General features: G+C 44.5%; 1 protein-coding gene across 14 annotated transcripts in view, besides 2 other annotated features; it reads left to right on the forward strand.

Moving 5' to 3' along the window:
* PALM2AKAP2 (PALM2 and AKAP2 fusion) overlaps positions 1 to 13,399 on the forward strand; it is a 531,726-nt gene that overhangs the window by 280,046 nt on the left and 238,281 nt on the right. For 7 of the 14 annotated variants that reach the window (XM_047423410.1, XM_047423411.1, XM_047423414.1 and 4 more), the window contains exons 4-6: positions 2,903 to 3,017; positions 4,229 to 4,250; positions 11,095 to 11,196. In XM_047423410.1, the coding sequence (XP_047279366.1) occupies positions 2,903 to 3,017; positions 4,229 to 4,250; positions 11,095 to 11,196 (239 nt within the window). The remainder of the gene's footprint in view (positions 1 to 2,902; positions 3,018 to 4,228; positions 4,251 to 11,094; positions 11,197 to 13,399) is intronic. The other 7 variants (NM_001037293.3, XM_047423412.1, XM_047423413.1 and 4 more) reach the window with 1 other exon arrangement.
* Positions 5,563 to 5,612: an enhancer, noted in NCBI's record as "active region_28772". NCBI's record gives its function as "activates an Ori minimal core promoter by ATAC-STARR-seq in GM12878 lymphoblastoid cells {active_cell/tissue: GM12878}" and the evidence as "EXISTENCE:reporter gene assay evidence [ECO:0000049][PMID:35858748]".
* Positions 5,803 to 6,022: an enhancer, noted in NCBI's record as "active region_28773". NCBI's record gives its function as "activates an Ori minimal core promoter by ATAC-STARR-seq in GM12878 lymphoblastoid cells {active_cell/tissue: GM12878}" and the evidence as "EXISTENCE:reporter gene assay evidence [ECO:0000049][PMID:35858748]".

A 13,399-nucleotide genomic window follows, 5' to 3' on the forward strand; every position in this document is an offset into this window, starting at 1 on the left:
AGCCCACCTGGTTGGTAGTATCATCCAGTCTACACAGGGAACCTCTAGTCCAGAGCTCCTCTACTCATTGAATTAATTCAGTTTCTGGATAATGTGACTGTCTCGTGTGTTGTTCCTATTTCACACTCATGTCTCTTTACTTACTCCCCCCAAAATAATTTACACAGATGTGTGTAGAAGATTTTGCTGAACATCTGGACCAGCAAAGAAGTTTTACATCTTTATGTTCGTATCTCTAGATTGGCCAGCCCCCTCTCCATAAATTCTCTTTGCGTCTCGCCCACACACAGCCTCTCAAGTTAAAGCTTGCTGAAGAATTCACTCTTGTCTCCAAAATTCTGAAAGTCTTATCTTGGCTGGGCCACACCTTTGCGCAACTTAGCTCAGCTTTTTAAATTCATTCAATGTAGGTGTATTGAGCATTTGTGCCCTCTGTCTGAGGAATTTATAATCTAGTAGGGGAAATTAATAATGTATGTTACTATTTGGGGCCAGAAAATTCTTTGCTGTAGGGTGCCATCCGGTGCACTGTGGGATGTTTACCAGCATCCCTGGCCTCTACCCACTATGTGCCAGTAACACCAGTCCCACCCCCTTGAGCTTTGGACAACCAAAATATCTCTAGACATTGCTGAATATCCCCTGAGGGACAAGATCACCTCAGTTGAGAGCCACTGCTCTAATATATGGTAGACTTGATAAGACTTCTGATAAAACAAAATAATGTGCTAAGAAATGTTCAGAGGGAAGCGATGTTATTTCCTGGCAGTGAAATCTGTGAACACCTCATGACAGGTGGCATCTGAGCTGAGACTTCAAGAATGGTTGGGAGTTTGAGTTGAGTTTCCTAGAGGAGGAAAAGACATGGGGTACATGTGGGCAAATAAGAGTGGCTCTATTTGACTAATGCATGAAGTGAAATAGGCATGTTGTTAGAGTGGAGCTGATAGGTACTGGGAGGCTAGATACCATGGGGACTTATAAGCTGTAGGACTTCTACTTTTACCCTGAGTGAAATGACAAATATTTCAGAGCTGTGTTCATTTGGAGGAGGTTAATTTGGATATAGGGCTTGCCTTCATAACCCAAAGTAATTGCTGCAAAGATTATCCCTCCAGAGGTCACTTTTCTGACACCCAGGAAGGAAACAGAAAGGCCATCTGAGGGGCACAGTATGTCGCTAAATAAATTCATGCCTGGATCTTGGTGTTCCTTACCTTTCAGAAAACCCCACTCTGAACTCCTTATTTTAGGTCTAAGTCTAATGGCCAGTTCCCGAGAGCAGATTAAAAGATGGAAAAAGAGGGCCAGGCACGGTGGCTCACGCCTGTAGTCTCAGCACTTTGGGAGCCTGAGGCAGGAGGATTGCTTAAGCCCAGGAGTTCAAGACCCACGCAGGCAACATAGTAAGACCTCACCTCTACAAAAAAAAATTAAAAATTAGCTGGGCATGGTGGTGTGTGCCTTTAGTCCCAGCTCCTTGGGAAGCTGAGGTGGGAGGATTGCTTGAGCCCAAGAGGTAGAGGCTGCAGTGAGCTATGATCGTACCACTACACTCCAGCCTGGGTGACAGAGTGAGACTCTATCTCAAAAAAAAAAAAAAAAAAAAAAAAAAAAAAAAAAAAGATGGAAAAGGAGGAAGGCAAGGGAGGGGACTTATATAGGCAGACACAGACTCAGCAGCAAAGCTTCCAGCACAACAGAGGGGAAAGAGACCAAAAGAAAAAATGAATGAATGAGTGATTGAATGAATGAACCAATGAATAAATTCAGATCAAATAATTCAAGAGGCACAGCAATCTAGAGTTTTAGCAAGAGAACATTTATCCCTTCATTCTTCCTGAAGACATTGCTGCATATCAGTGCCATCCTACTCTGCCAATATATGTAATGTTTAACAAGGTGGGGGATGTGGAGAACACTTTAGATCCCATGTGGTAAGAGTTGCTCAATGGTTAGGAACAGGGTCTAGAGTCAGAGCACCTGGCTTGAATCCTTGCTTCAAGGCTCTGTGGCACTAAAGCCTGCTTTACTAGGTTACTTCACCTTGCCAAGCCCTACTGATCTCATCGGTAAAATGGGGATTCCCTACTCACAGGGTCATTGGGAAGTTTGGATAAAATAATCCACATGAATTCTTAGCTCAGTTCCTGGCACAGAATAAGTGCTCAGTAAATACTGGTGGTAATTATTATCATTTCACTGAAAGAATATGGCTGTTGAGACTTTCCCCAAATCATAGCTGCAGCTGCTATTCTGGAATATTTCCAGAGTCTCCTGGCAGTGCTGAAATTTCCCTTTTATAAAATACATAGGATGGCTGTGAAAATTGAGGAAAGTTCCAAAAGGCAGGGGCAGTTGCATCTGTCTTCTTCATTTCCCTTCTTTTTGGCAGTAGAATCCAGACCACAGAGGGAGAGGACACCAGGCTCCCAAGGGTACTGGCCACCAGCTATTTCTTGGCAACATACTTCCTTTGAGCAAGAATGGCCCTTTACTTTTTGACCAACCTGAGAGAGCACTTACTCTGAGCCGGTCAGGAGAATATGAAGCTATTTTCCTTCTGATGTTATGTCCTATGCTATGTAAATATAATCTCCCTCCAAATAAGAAAGGTGCACATGCATGGTGTTGGCAGGGAAACATCGAAACATATTGCATAGTGGTGGCTGTGAACCAGTGGAGGCAGTGCTGTGTTGATTTCCCTTGACCAATGTCTGCCCAGTGGCAGAGCTGGAAACACAAGATGCTGTGTAATGTAAAACCTTGGCCTGGCTCCTCAGCGTAATGTAAAACAAAGGCTGCCAGGAAGGTACAAATCGCCCAACAGGAAGGAGCTGCTCTCTTGCCCGTGGATGGCAGGACAATAAAGTAACTTGTCCTTTGTTTGTGTGTTTTCCAGGCTGGAGCAAGAAATACAAACGCTAGAAAGTGAAGAGTCCCAGATATCTGCCAAAGAGCAAATCATCCTAGAGAAACTGAAGGAAACAGAAAAATCCTTCAAGGACTTTCAGAAGGTGAAGAAAACCAAAACGATTTCTCAAAGTTATTTCCATGGGGAAGTAGGGCCTAGCAAAATGGTGCTAACTGGGAAACAGGCCAGTGGGCATTGATGAGAAATCTGAGCCACGAACTCTATGAAATGAGGGGCAGATGTGTGAGGACCAGGGGCCATCCTGAAGCTAAGCATGACATATCTTTGGGTGTGGGACCATCTGGCCTGCTGCAAGGCATAGGGAAGAGTCATTAGATTACCCCATCTGCCTGCTCTCCGGATCCCTGATATGCCTTGTGCCTGAAAAGCCTTCTCTTATTGGACTCTAGAATTCTAAAACCAATTCTGATGAAGCAGAATAAACATGCTCTTTGTGGCTTTAATTATAGTTTGCTTTTTGAGTCTTTCATTATAAAAAGGCCAGAAGCAACACCTTATGAAGTGGACAAGAATTCCAAATACAAAGAGTGTAAATACATGACATTTTACTGTATATAGAAACAGATGGTGCCTGTAATCCCAGCACTTTGGGAGGCCGGGGCGGGTGGATCACGAGGTCAGGAGATCGAGACCATCCTGGCTAACGTGGTGAAACCCTGTCTGTACTAAAAAATACAAAAAAATTAGCCAGGTGCGGTGGCAGGCGCCTGTAATCCCAGCTACTGAGGAGGCTGAGGCAGAAGAATGGCATAAACCTGGGAGGCGGAGCTTGCAGTGAGCTGAGATTACGCCACTGCACTCCAGCCTGGGCGACACAGCAAGACTGCGTCTCAAAAAAACAAAAACAAAAAACAAAGACAAACAAACAAAAAAACAGGTGGTGCCGTGTATCAAAGAGTAGAGTCCGTAAAACCAGTAGGCTCTGAACAAACATCTCAGGACCTCCCTCCATTTTATAACTGTTTCTGCTGTACCTATGAGTGACAGAAAAGCAATCTAATGAAATCAATTTAGGATGGGATTTTCTGATATCATTCTCCAGCATGACCAAGGATATTTGCTAGATCATTGAAATAAATCTCTATTGGGAGAAATTTAGTATAAATTGGGAATTATAATTTTGGAATTCTAAATAAATTGTCCAGAAGAAAAGAGATCGTTGCGTTTCCCCAGCACAGTCAAATTCTGGGCTGGGGCATGGGAGAAAGATGGGTTAAGTCTTTAAAGATGGGAAAAGATGGGATTGTACCCCCACATGTAGAGTAACGCTCTGCCTTGTTTTTGTTCCTACAGGGTTTCTCCAGTACGGATGGAGGTAAGTGCTCTCTGCCCCGACTGTAGATGAATGTTTTAATCCTGGTCAGCTTAGGGGGTTTCATTAACAGGGGCTTAAGGAAGAGGTACTGTGTTGATTTGTAAAGGCATCAGAAGAAGTAGCAGCGCTGGTTGCAGGCCACTGAGGAGGTCCACATTCCAAGCCTTCCCTGCCTCTCTTCTTCAGGAACTATCTCTTGGCTCACTGTTTCTCCTCTTACAAAATTGGCCTGGCTCTTCTCCTTCCCATTAGTCCCAACACTCACTGCTTGGGCCTCTCTTGAAAGGTACCCAGCAAAGAAGAGTACTAACATCAGGACCTGGTCCCTTGTAGGGATGAGCCCATTTGTCTTGGTGGTTAGGTCCTCAGGTTGAAACATACGTGAGAAGTTTAAGAAATTTGGGGAAAATATTTGGTGTTTGGGAAACCTTTCTACAGCCTCTGGATTTTCTTTGCTTTCTCTCTCTCTCTCTCTGATCAGACAACTGTCGTTTCTTTCATAGAAACAGGGCTGGGCAAAAACTTCCCTCCCTGTGTGGGATAGTTGGTTCAGAGCATAGGAAGGTAGGAGTGGGGTCCTGGCTTCCTGGTGGCAAGAGCAGGTCTTTCACCTTCTCTACCTTCCCTACCTTTCCTCTGTCCTCTCCTCTCCTTACCTGGACTGTGGGGATGAACTTGAGATTGTGTACTTCTCACCCTTCACCTTGCTCCCTATCCTCAGCTGCAAACCCATGATTCCTACTTTCATTTGGCCCTCAGCTAGACCTGCTTTACAATGCAGGGACTTGTTGGAAAGACCAGATATTGTCTGCTCCCCTGGCTCTTAGAAAGTCACATTCTAGGGCTGGGTGTGGTGGCTCAGGTCTGTACTGCCAGCACTTTGGAAGACTGATGTGGGAGGATCCCTTGAGCCCAGAAGTTCAAGGCTGCAGTGAGCTATGGTCACACCAGTGCACTCCAGTCTGGGTGATAGCAAGGTCTTGTATTAAAAACAAACAAAAAAGGTCAACCTCTAGACTAGGAAGATGATCAGGAGCCAGGATAAGAATTGGCATCAGTGTTTTCCCAGCGTCATTTGGAAATATACGGGGAAAGGTTTAAAAATGTGTTTCTCTGGATTAGTCAAAGGTATTTGCATGAAGGATAGTTCTGACTTTGGCAAAACAAACAAACAAACAAACAAACCTGTGATTTTTAATTTTTTTTTCCCCTAGCAAGAGACCTGGATTTTGTCTCCCCAGGTGATCTTTAGGAAGGTACTAAATTAAACTTCATGCTCTGAGTACATGTAGGCAGGGCCAAGTCATGTCCAAGCTAGCAAGGACTCTAGGAAAAGCGGACCTACAATACTTCTAGGAAGTCTCTATGGTGTGACCAAGTCAGGGCACTTGTTCTGTGCTTTGGGGGTGGGGCACGGATTGAGGAAGTGGCCTTGGGGAATTGTGGGTACAGCATGGGGAGGATGGCAGGCTTCCCTGAGTCTGGGAAGACCTGAGGCATGCCACACAATTAGCAATAATACAGTGCATGTCAGGCTGGGATGAAGTGTGGGACACTGACCCATGAACACCTACCCAAAGAGTGCATGTCGGCCTTTTATGCTTTCACTTTTTTTTTCCCTTCCCTTCTCAAATCAGGAATTTCCCTAGACATCTCTCTGATACTTAGGGAAGGGAAAGACCCTGTATGTCATGTTCCTGAGGAGTCTGTGTGGGGCATGGAGACCTGTCATACTCTGTGACTTGTTAACAAGCAAAAATGCAGCCGCATCATAAACTCTCACCACCTCTTTCATTTTTACCTCAAACTTCTTTCATTTTCTTCTGCATTGCTTCCCATTGTTTTCACTTATCCACCTAAGCCATTTGTAGAGGTGGTAAGAAGCCTAGTCATAACTGAAAAGAGCCTGCAGGGAAAGTTGCCCACAGACTCCATCCTCCAGGATGGGGGAGCTCAGGCTTAAGAGGATGCAAAAGTCTTAGGGATCTCATTTCTTGGGAAGTGGCCCAGGGAAGAGTTTCCGTGGTCTTACCTGTCACCCTGCATTATAATTCCTGCCATCTGTGGTTATCACCAAGCCTGGGTGACCTCTTTATCTGTCATACCACATCTATTAGCAAAGAAAGAAGTTTGAAGGCGGGAACACATACATCCCAGAATGTGATTGATGTATATAGAGTCACAATGTGGTGAAGCACATCCCAGTTGAGGGACTTTGGGATGTCTCTTTATCTTCTCATTCTTCAATTTCAAAGGCCCCGAGTTGCCAAGACCCTCTTAGAATCATCCAACTTGCTACAAAAAACTAACCAGATATTATTATAGAACAATGGTGACTTAAGAAACACAGTTAATTTCTGATGCGTGCAGATTACAGAATCCAGGTCCAGTTAGGATTATGTAACTATACAGACACTGCAGATAAGCAGCAAAAGCATCCCAACTCGTGAGGTGCTATGAGATAGCTGCTGGTGTCTGTGTGTGTAATGACCCCATCTCAGGTAACCTAAGTGTGTCCCTCTATGCATGGCAGAGGAAATAGAGGTACCGTACTGCTGGATCACCAGTGGCTTTTGATTGCATGATAGCCTGGGCAATCAAGAACAATTTATTCTATTCTTGAGTAGAATCTCCTGGTCATATACATTCTGACACCCACTCTCCTCCCCCGCCAACACACACTGTTGTTATATAGCAGAACGCTCATCTATTGGGTGGGTTGGTTTTCACTGTCTTAGGCATAATGTCTTGTACACCTATAAATTGCATATAGTATATATCTGGTGCTAATTCTGTTCTTTACCCACTGAGGAGGGAGCTGATGCAAAACTCTTGCCAGAACAGGCAAAGGAAAATGTCTGTCCTGGGCCTATCTCAGTCCTTGGTGTATGATATGGATCTTCTTAGGTTCCCATCCCATACCAGTCTGTGGTGGCTTAGAGCGTTTCCCACATCAAAACCTTCATACCAGTTATTCGCAAACCTCAATCTTCAGTTGCCTGTAAGTTATGTGTTTGTTTGTTTGTTTATTTATTTTGAGATGGAGTTTCACTCTTGTCGCCCAGGCTGGAGTGCAGTGGTGCCATCTTGGCTCACTGCAACCTCCACCTCCCAGGTTCAAGCCATTCTCCTGCCTCAGCCCCCCGAATAGCTGGGATTACAGGTATCAGCCACCGCATCCAGCCTAAGTTATGTTTTAAGAAGAGTTTTCATCAATTTGTTTCTCTGGCTTTAGCTGTTTAGATTCTTCATAGCTACTGTAAATATTTCAGCGGGATTAGAACTAAGAAGCAGCACTCATCTTTAATTTCTACTCTATAAGTTACTGCTTTCCACCTTCTCTGTCAGTGGGGAGAATAGTGTTAGACTATTCTGACTTTGGCAGGAAGAGGGCAGCTTATTAATTGAGGCCACCTGAAGAAGTTTTTCCCATTGAAGTTTTGGCAAGCCTGTTTGTTACTCTTTGTGCTGGCCTATCAGACACTTCCTGTCTATATAACCTTAGGGTTTAGTACTTAATCATATATTGAGGGGGCTGCTCTGTCCTCTTTCTGATGCCCCATTCTCCACTCCCTTATCTTTCTCTCGCTCTCTTTTTTTTTTTTTTGAGTCAGCATCTCACTCTGTCACCCGGGCTGGAGTGCAGTGGCGTGGTCTCAGCTCACTGCAACGTCCGCCTCCAGGGTTCAAGCGATTCTCCTGTCTCAGCCTCCCAAGTGGCTGGGACTACAGACACACACCACCAGTCCAAATTTTTGCATTTTAGTAGAGACAGGGTTTCACCATGTTGGCCATGCTGGTCTCAAACTCCTGACCTCAAGTGATCTGCCTGCCTCAGCCTCCCAAAGTGTTGGGTTTACAGGTGTGAGCTACTGCGCCCAGCCCATTCCCTTATCTCTTAACAGAAGCCATGTAGCCCAACCCTCTAAGTGCTGTAGACTTCAAGCTTGTAGCCAGTAAACATCTGGCAAAGGTAACTCCATCATCCATTCCCATCTGGCAGGGAGCTATCTCCTGGAGGAGGCTGAGACATAAGCCCTGGGAATCACATGTTCTTTCAGATGGAAAATTCCCTGTCTGTAAGTAGTTTTTTTTTTTTTGTTTCTTTTTTAAACTGCTAAAACATTGAGTATGCAGACACACATGTGACCAGTCCATGAGATCTCACATGGGCTCCAGCCTCCATCTTATTTGAATGCAGAAAGTCAAATTCACCAAGATCCCATTCCACAGATTTCTGGAAATTATCAGTGAATCTTGGAAGTTCTACAAATCTGCTCTGGTCATCCCTTCTTTCCTAAACTGACCCTCTAGTCCTAGATTACTGCTTCACTCTTCCCACGGACAATTGTCACCCACCTGCCCCTACCCCCTCAGGACTACTGACCTCAAGGTGCTGCTCTTTCTAGTTCTGCCTTGTGCTGCTTTGGGGCACAGACCCTTCCTACAGCCTTCCACAGTGGGAATTAAAGGAAAGAGAAGTCTGTGACCTAAGTTTAAGAATCATGGAGGTGGCTCACGCCTGTAATCCCAGCACTTTGGGAGGCCGAGGCGGGCGGATCATGAGGTCAGGAGATCGAGACCATCCTGGCTAACACAGTGAAACCCCATCTCTACTAAAAATACAAAAAATTAGCCGGGTGTGGTGGTGGGCGCCTGTAGTCCCAGCTACTCGGGAGGCTGAGGCAGGAGAATGGCGTGAACCTGGGAGGCAGAGCTTGCAGTGAGCTGAGATTGCGCCACTGCACTCCAGCCTGGGTGACAGAGTGAGACTCCATTTCAAAAAAAAAAAAAAAAAAAAAAAAGAGAGAGAATCATGGAGGTGCAGTTCAACATGGAGAATAATGCACAACTTCAGACATGTGGCTTCACTCACAGCCCCTGACTCAAATCCAAAACCATCTTCAGGGGGTCCCTGCAGGCTGCTTTCCAGCCATCTCCCAGCCCACCATCATCTCAAAGGCTCAATTTCCTTCCTTGCAGTGAGGGGTGCCTTCAACCATGTCTGCCTTATCCAGGATCCAAGCTCCAACACATATAAGGCACCTGAGAGGGAAAGCAACTTGAGCCTCACTCCACCCTAAGTCCTGCTGTTCTAATCTTCCTTTCTCATTCCTTCTCCCCAAATGGTTAATATGGAAAAATCTATTTTTTTTTTTTTGAGACAGAGTCTCACTCTGTCACCCAGGCTGGAGTGCAGTGGCACAATCTTGGCTCACTGCAACCTCCGCCTCCTGGGTTCAAGCGATCCTCCTGCCTCAGCCCCTCTAGTAGCTGGGACTACAGGTGCATGCCACCATGCCCAGCTAATTTTTGTATTTTTAGTAGAGACGGGGTTTTGCCATGTTGGCCAGGCTGGTCTCGAGCTCCTGACCTCAGGTGATCCACCCGCCTTGGTCTCCCAAAGTGCTGGGATTACAGGCATGAGCCACCGCGCCCGGCGAAAAATCTGTTTTCTTAGCGATACTCTACCTTTGCCTATGAACATAATGGTCTAATGTCAATACATTCTGGATTGTTCAGACTCATTTGCAAGTCAGAAAAGGGTCTGGTTGGTCTAGAACTGAACTAAGCCTAGTCCAGTGTGTGTTTGCAATCCTCTTCAGCAAGAAATGAAAAAGAAAGCTGCTAGAATGGAAGCAGTACGAGTGGGGATGCAGAGGAGGGGTCAGTGATGAGAAATGCGGAGGATTTTGAACAGAGGCAGAGGCTATTGAACAGATTGGATACCAGCAGGGGGAAGAGTGAAGGGTGCTGCTGAGGATCCCAGGTGAACTGCAGTGCTCGTGAGCCAAGATAGAGGACAGGAGAAGCAGCAGGTGAGCAGAGATACAAGGTCCATTTTGCACATGTTGAGTTTGAGGTGATTGTGGGATATTCAGTATAGACCTACAGTGAGCAGTTAGATGTAACCATTGATGACTGATGGACGTTCCAGGATTTTGTGATATGGTCGTGATGCAAGGAAGGGATCACATCTCATGGTGCCCAGCTTTCCGGAATCTTCCTGCTTTCACTTTCCCACTTCTTTCTGGGGTGTACCCAGATTTGTCTTGTCTTACCTCAGGGGTTTCCTCCTTTCCTCTGATACCTTGGCATGCTTGCTAATGTTCATGCTCCCCATGTCTCACCTCCCTAAAGAGGCTTGTCGAGGTATTTGCCCAAGCAAATCTAATGGGCTCCTTCTTTTACATAGCAACATTCCCTGCAACTGGGCTAATGGTGGGCTCAAGGGGTATTGTCATTTAGAATCTCAGGACTTTCTAGCTGAAACACCAGCCTGCAGTATTGAAAACATGAGATCAATTCTGAAGTCTGTTTATTTGTTGTAATGCATATAAAATTGGTCTTTTGAATGAATCAGGCTCATAAAGCTATATTGCCAGTTCAGGGAATGAACCCCATAATAATCAGACACAGAAAGCTTTATTTCCGGTTCAGAGAATGGATCTGTTTTTCAGTACTGTTTAATGTACATTTCTAGTTCCATGTTTTCTATTTGTCAATCCCACCAAGTTGATAATGGCTCCCACAAGCCCATCTCTGAATCTTCCCCCCGTCCCTGAACTCATTGTCCTCCTAGAATCTAGAGATTTCTGATGACTCTTCTAATACATAGAGCCATCCTGGGGCTTGAGCTCTCTGGCCAGGATCCCTCCTGCCTCAGCTACTCTGCTGAATACCAGTCACTGGGCAAATGCTTGTCTTTGTTTACCCTGATCCTCCTGTTCAGTGGCCGCCTCAGCGGTCCATTATGTAGGGCAGACAAGCTGCTGTCTCGGCAGTGAACCCATTGGGCCTCCCAACACTGTGACTAATTGTATTCCCTGTTCTCTGCTACCAGATGCAGTAAATTACATTTCCTCCCAGCTTCCCGACCTGCCAATCCTCTGTTCACGAACAGCAGAACCATCACCTGGGCAGGACGGGACCAGCAGAGCGGCTGGTAAGTCCTGGGGACCTTTGGACGCTAGGATGGTCCAAGGGGCTTGCATTTCACTGAGCTTTATTAATGAGATGAGTGCCCTGCTATCCTTACATAGGGGGAGCTCACCTTCAGCCCAGCCTCAGATGCAGCCTTCACAGTGGCCACACAAGGCAGGCACCGGCCCCAGATGGGTAACTGAGGACCAAATGGGAAGGAGTTCTGAGGAAATCATACGGCATTTCACCTCCGACTTCGGGGGAGTCTTTCTTTGGTGTTTGTGGTCCTTATATCTGTGTTTATTCTCAAAGTTAATCTGTATTCTGCCTCCAGGGATTTTCATTTTCCTCATTGGAAATATACAAATTGAGAGAGCCATCCATGATGGAAGCTGGATGGGAAATATTTTCAAAGCCTGTGGTATCTTTACAGAATCCTTTGGGAATTGTGCTATTTGTATATTATGAATACATATATTCCTAAGTCTTCCCATTTCTGGAATTATTTCTTAGCCACTGTGGTATATTTGGGAGGAAAAGAAGCAATTTAAAGCACACATGTTACTTGCTAATGTGTCTCACAATTGGAAATTTTACAAATAATATATTTATGAGTGTTGAGTGTAGGGAGAACCATGCTTTGCTCTGCTTAATGCAGACATGCCTCAGAAATCAGAACTGGAAGGATGCAAGCAATAAATCTGTACACGAACCCTTATGATCTACACAGAAATGTGCTGAGGGCTGGGGGTTAAATGGAAAAATGAATTGCCCAAGGTTGCATGGTTAGTTACAACATAGGTGACTTCAAATATGAGTATCAGATTCTGCTTTGCATATTCTAGGTAAGTGTATGTTTAAAATAAATCACATAATGGCAGATTTTTTAAAGTAAAACAATCATGGATGTTTAAGCCAGAGGATATCTTTTATATAGGCCAACCTGAATATTTCATGAAGCAAAGAATCCCTACTTATTTTAATACAAAAGTAAAATAAAAGGCAAGTAAGAATTAACATAGTTGTCACGTCCACTGGCTAATTTAAATATCTGTTGGGCATCTCTGTAAACATCTTAGCAGATTACTTTTATGTACAGACTCACAGAGTCCTAGAGATGGTTGGGACTGTAAGTGGTATCTGGTCAATCCAGAGCCAGTTCCACATCTTCCTGGACAGTGACAGGATGGATAAACAGGAACCTGCAACCTGCAGTTATGCTTCAAAGGACTCACTGGCAGTCACTTTAACATTGGACTCTTTAAGTACTCCAGGGTACACTTCTGAGGTACACTTCTGAGGTCAACTTAGGTAAAATGTGTTTAAGAGTGACACCCCTTCCCTCTGGTTATTAGAGACATGGGTGTTGATGGCTCCTGATAGTTGTGGGTAAACAACTTCTCAGGTCCTCTGCACAAGTTCCTGCACTTCAAAGGACACAGGATATGATCCAACATATGGATCAGCTTATGGGAGGGTAGGGACAATGTATGAGAAATAATTTTAAGAGACAGAAAAAGAATTTGAGCAGTGTGGGTAGTCAAAGAGTTTAAAGTTCAAGAGTAACACATGAATGTGATTGTAGTGCTGTGTAAGCAGCAATACACATTATTACCACAACCCAGCTCCCTTTATCTTTGAAGATCCTGCAAAACATGATTTTAAAAGCCAATGCATTTTCAAAAGTATAATGTGATCAGAATCTTTTTCAAAGTAATTTTACATATGTTTCTGCTGATTAGTTAAGAGTTAATTTGCGTAAATGCATCTACTGTGGGATTACATATAAGCAGAGCTATGGAAGGAATTGTATTTGTTACGATGAACTCCTTTGTCCAGGCTGTTTAGGGAATGGGATGTTCAGATTCATGATCAATTATGGTTAATGGTGACTACACAGAGCATGTGTGGCTTACCAACCAAGGGTACTCACTAGAATTCTCCTAGATACAGTCCATCTTGCTTTAGGAATGTCCTTTTGGAAATTTATATAACCTCAGGGACATTTTGACAAATGTCACTTGTCATTACTGAGTAGTATAACAAATATCCTGGTTGTTTGGCGTTTGGAAGGTTTGGGACTCTGTATAAATGGGAATTTATTTAGAATCATTGCTTTTCAGAATTAGGAGACATCTATTCCAATCCTTTATCCAAACATTGAATCCTTAACATAGCAGCCCTGTGAAGAGGTCCTCAAACCCTGGTCACACACCTCTGTGATT

Source organism: Homo sapiens, chromosome 9, assembly GCF_000001405.40.
Source record: "Homo sapiens chromosome 9, GRCh38.p14 Primary Assembly".
In the NCBI taxonomy this organism is placed as follows: Eukaryota; Metazoa; Chordata; class Mammalia; order Primates; family Hominidae; genus Homo; species Homo sapiens.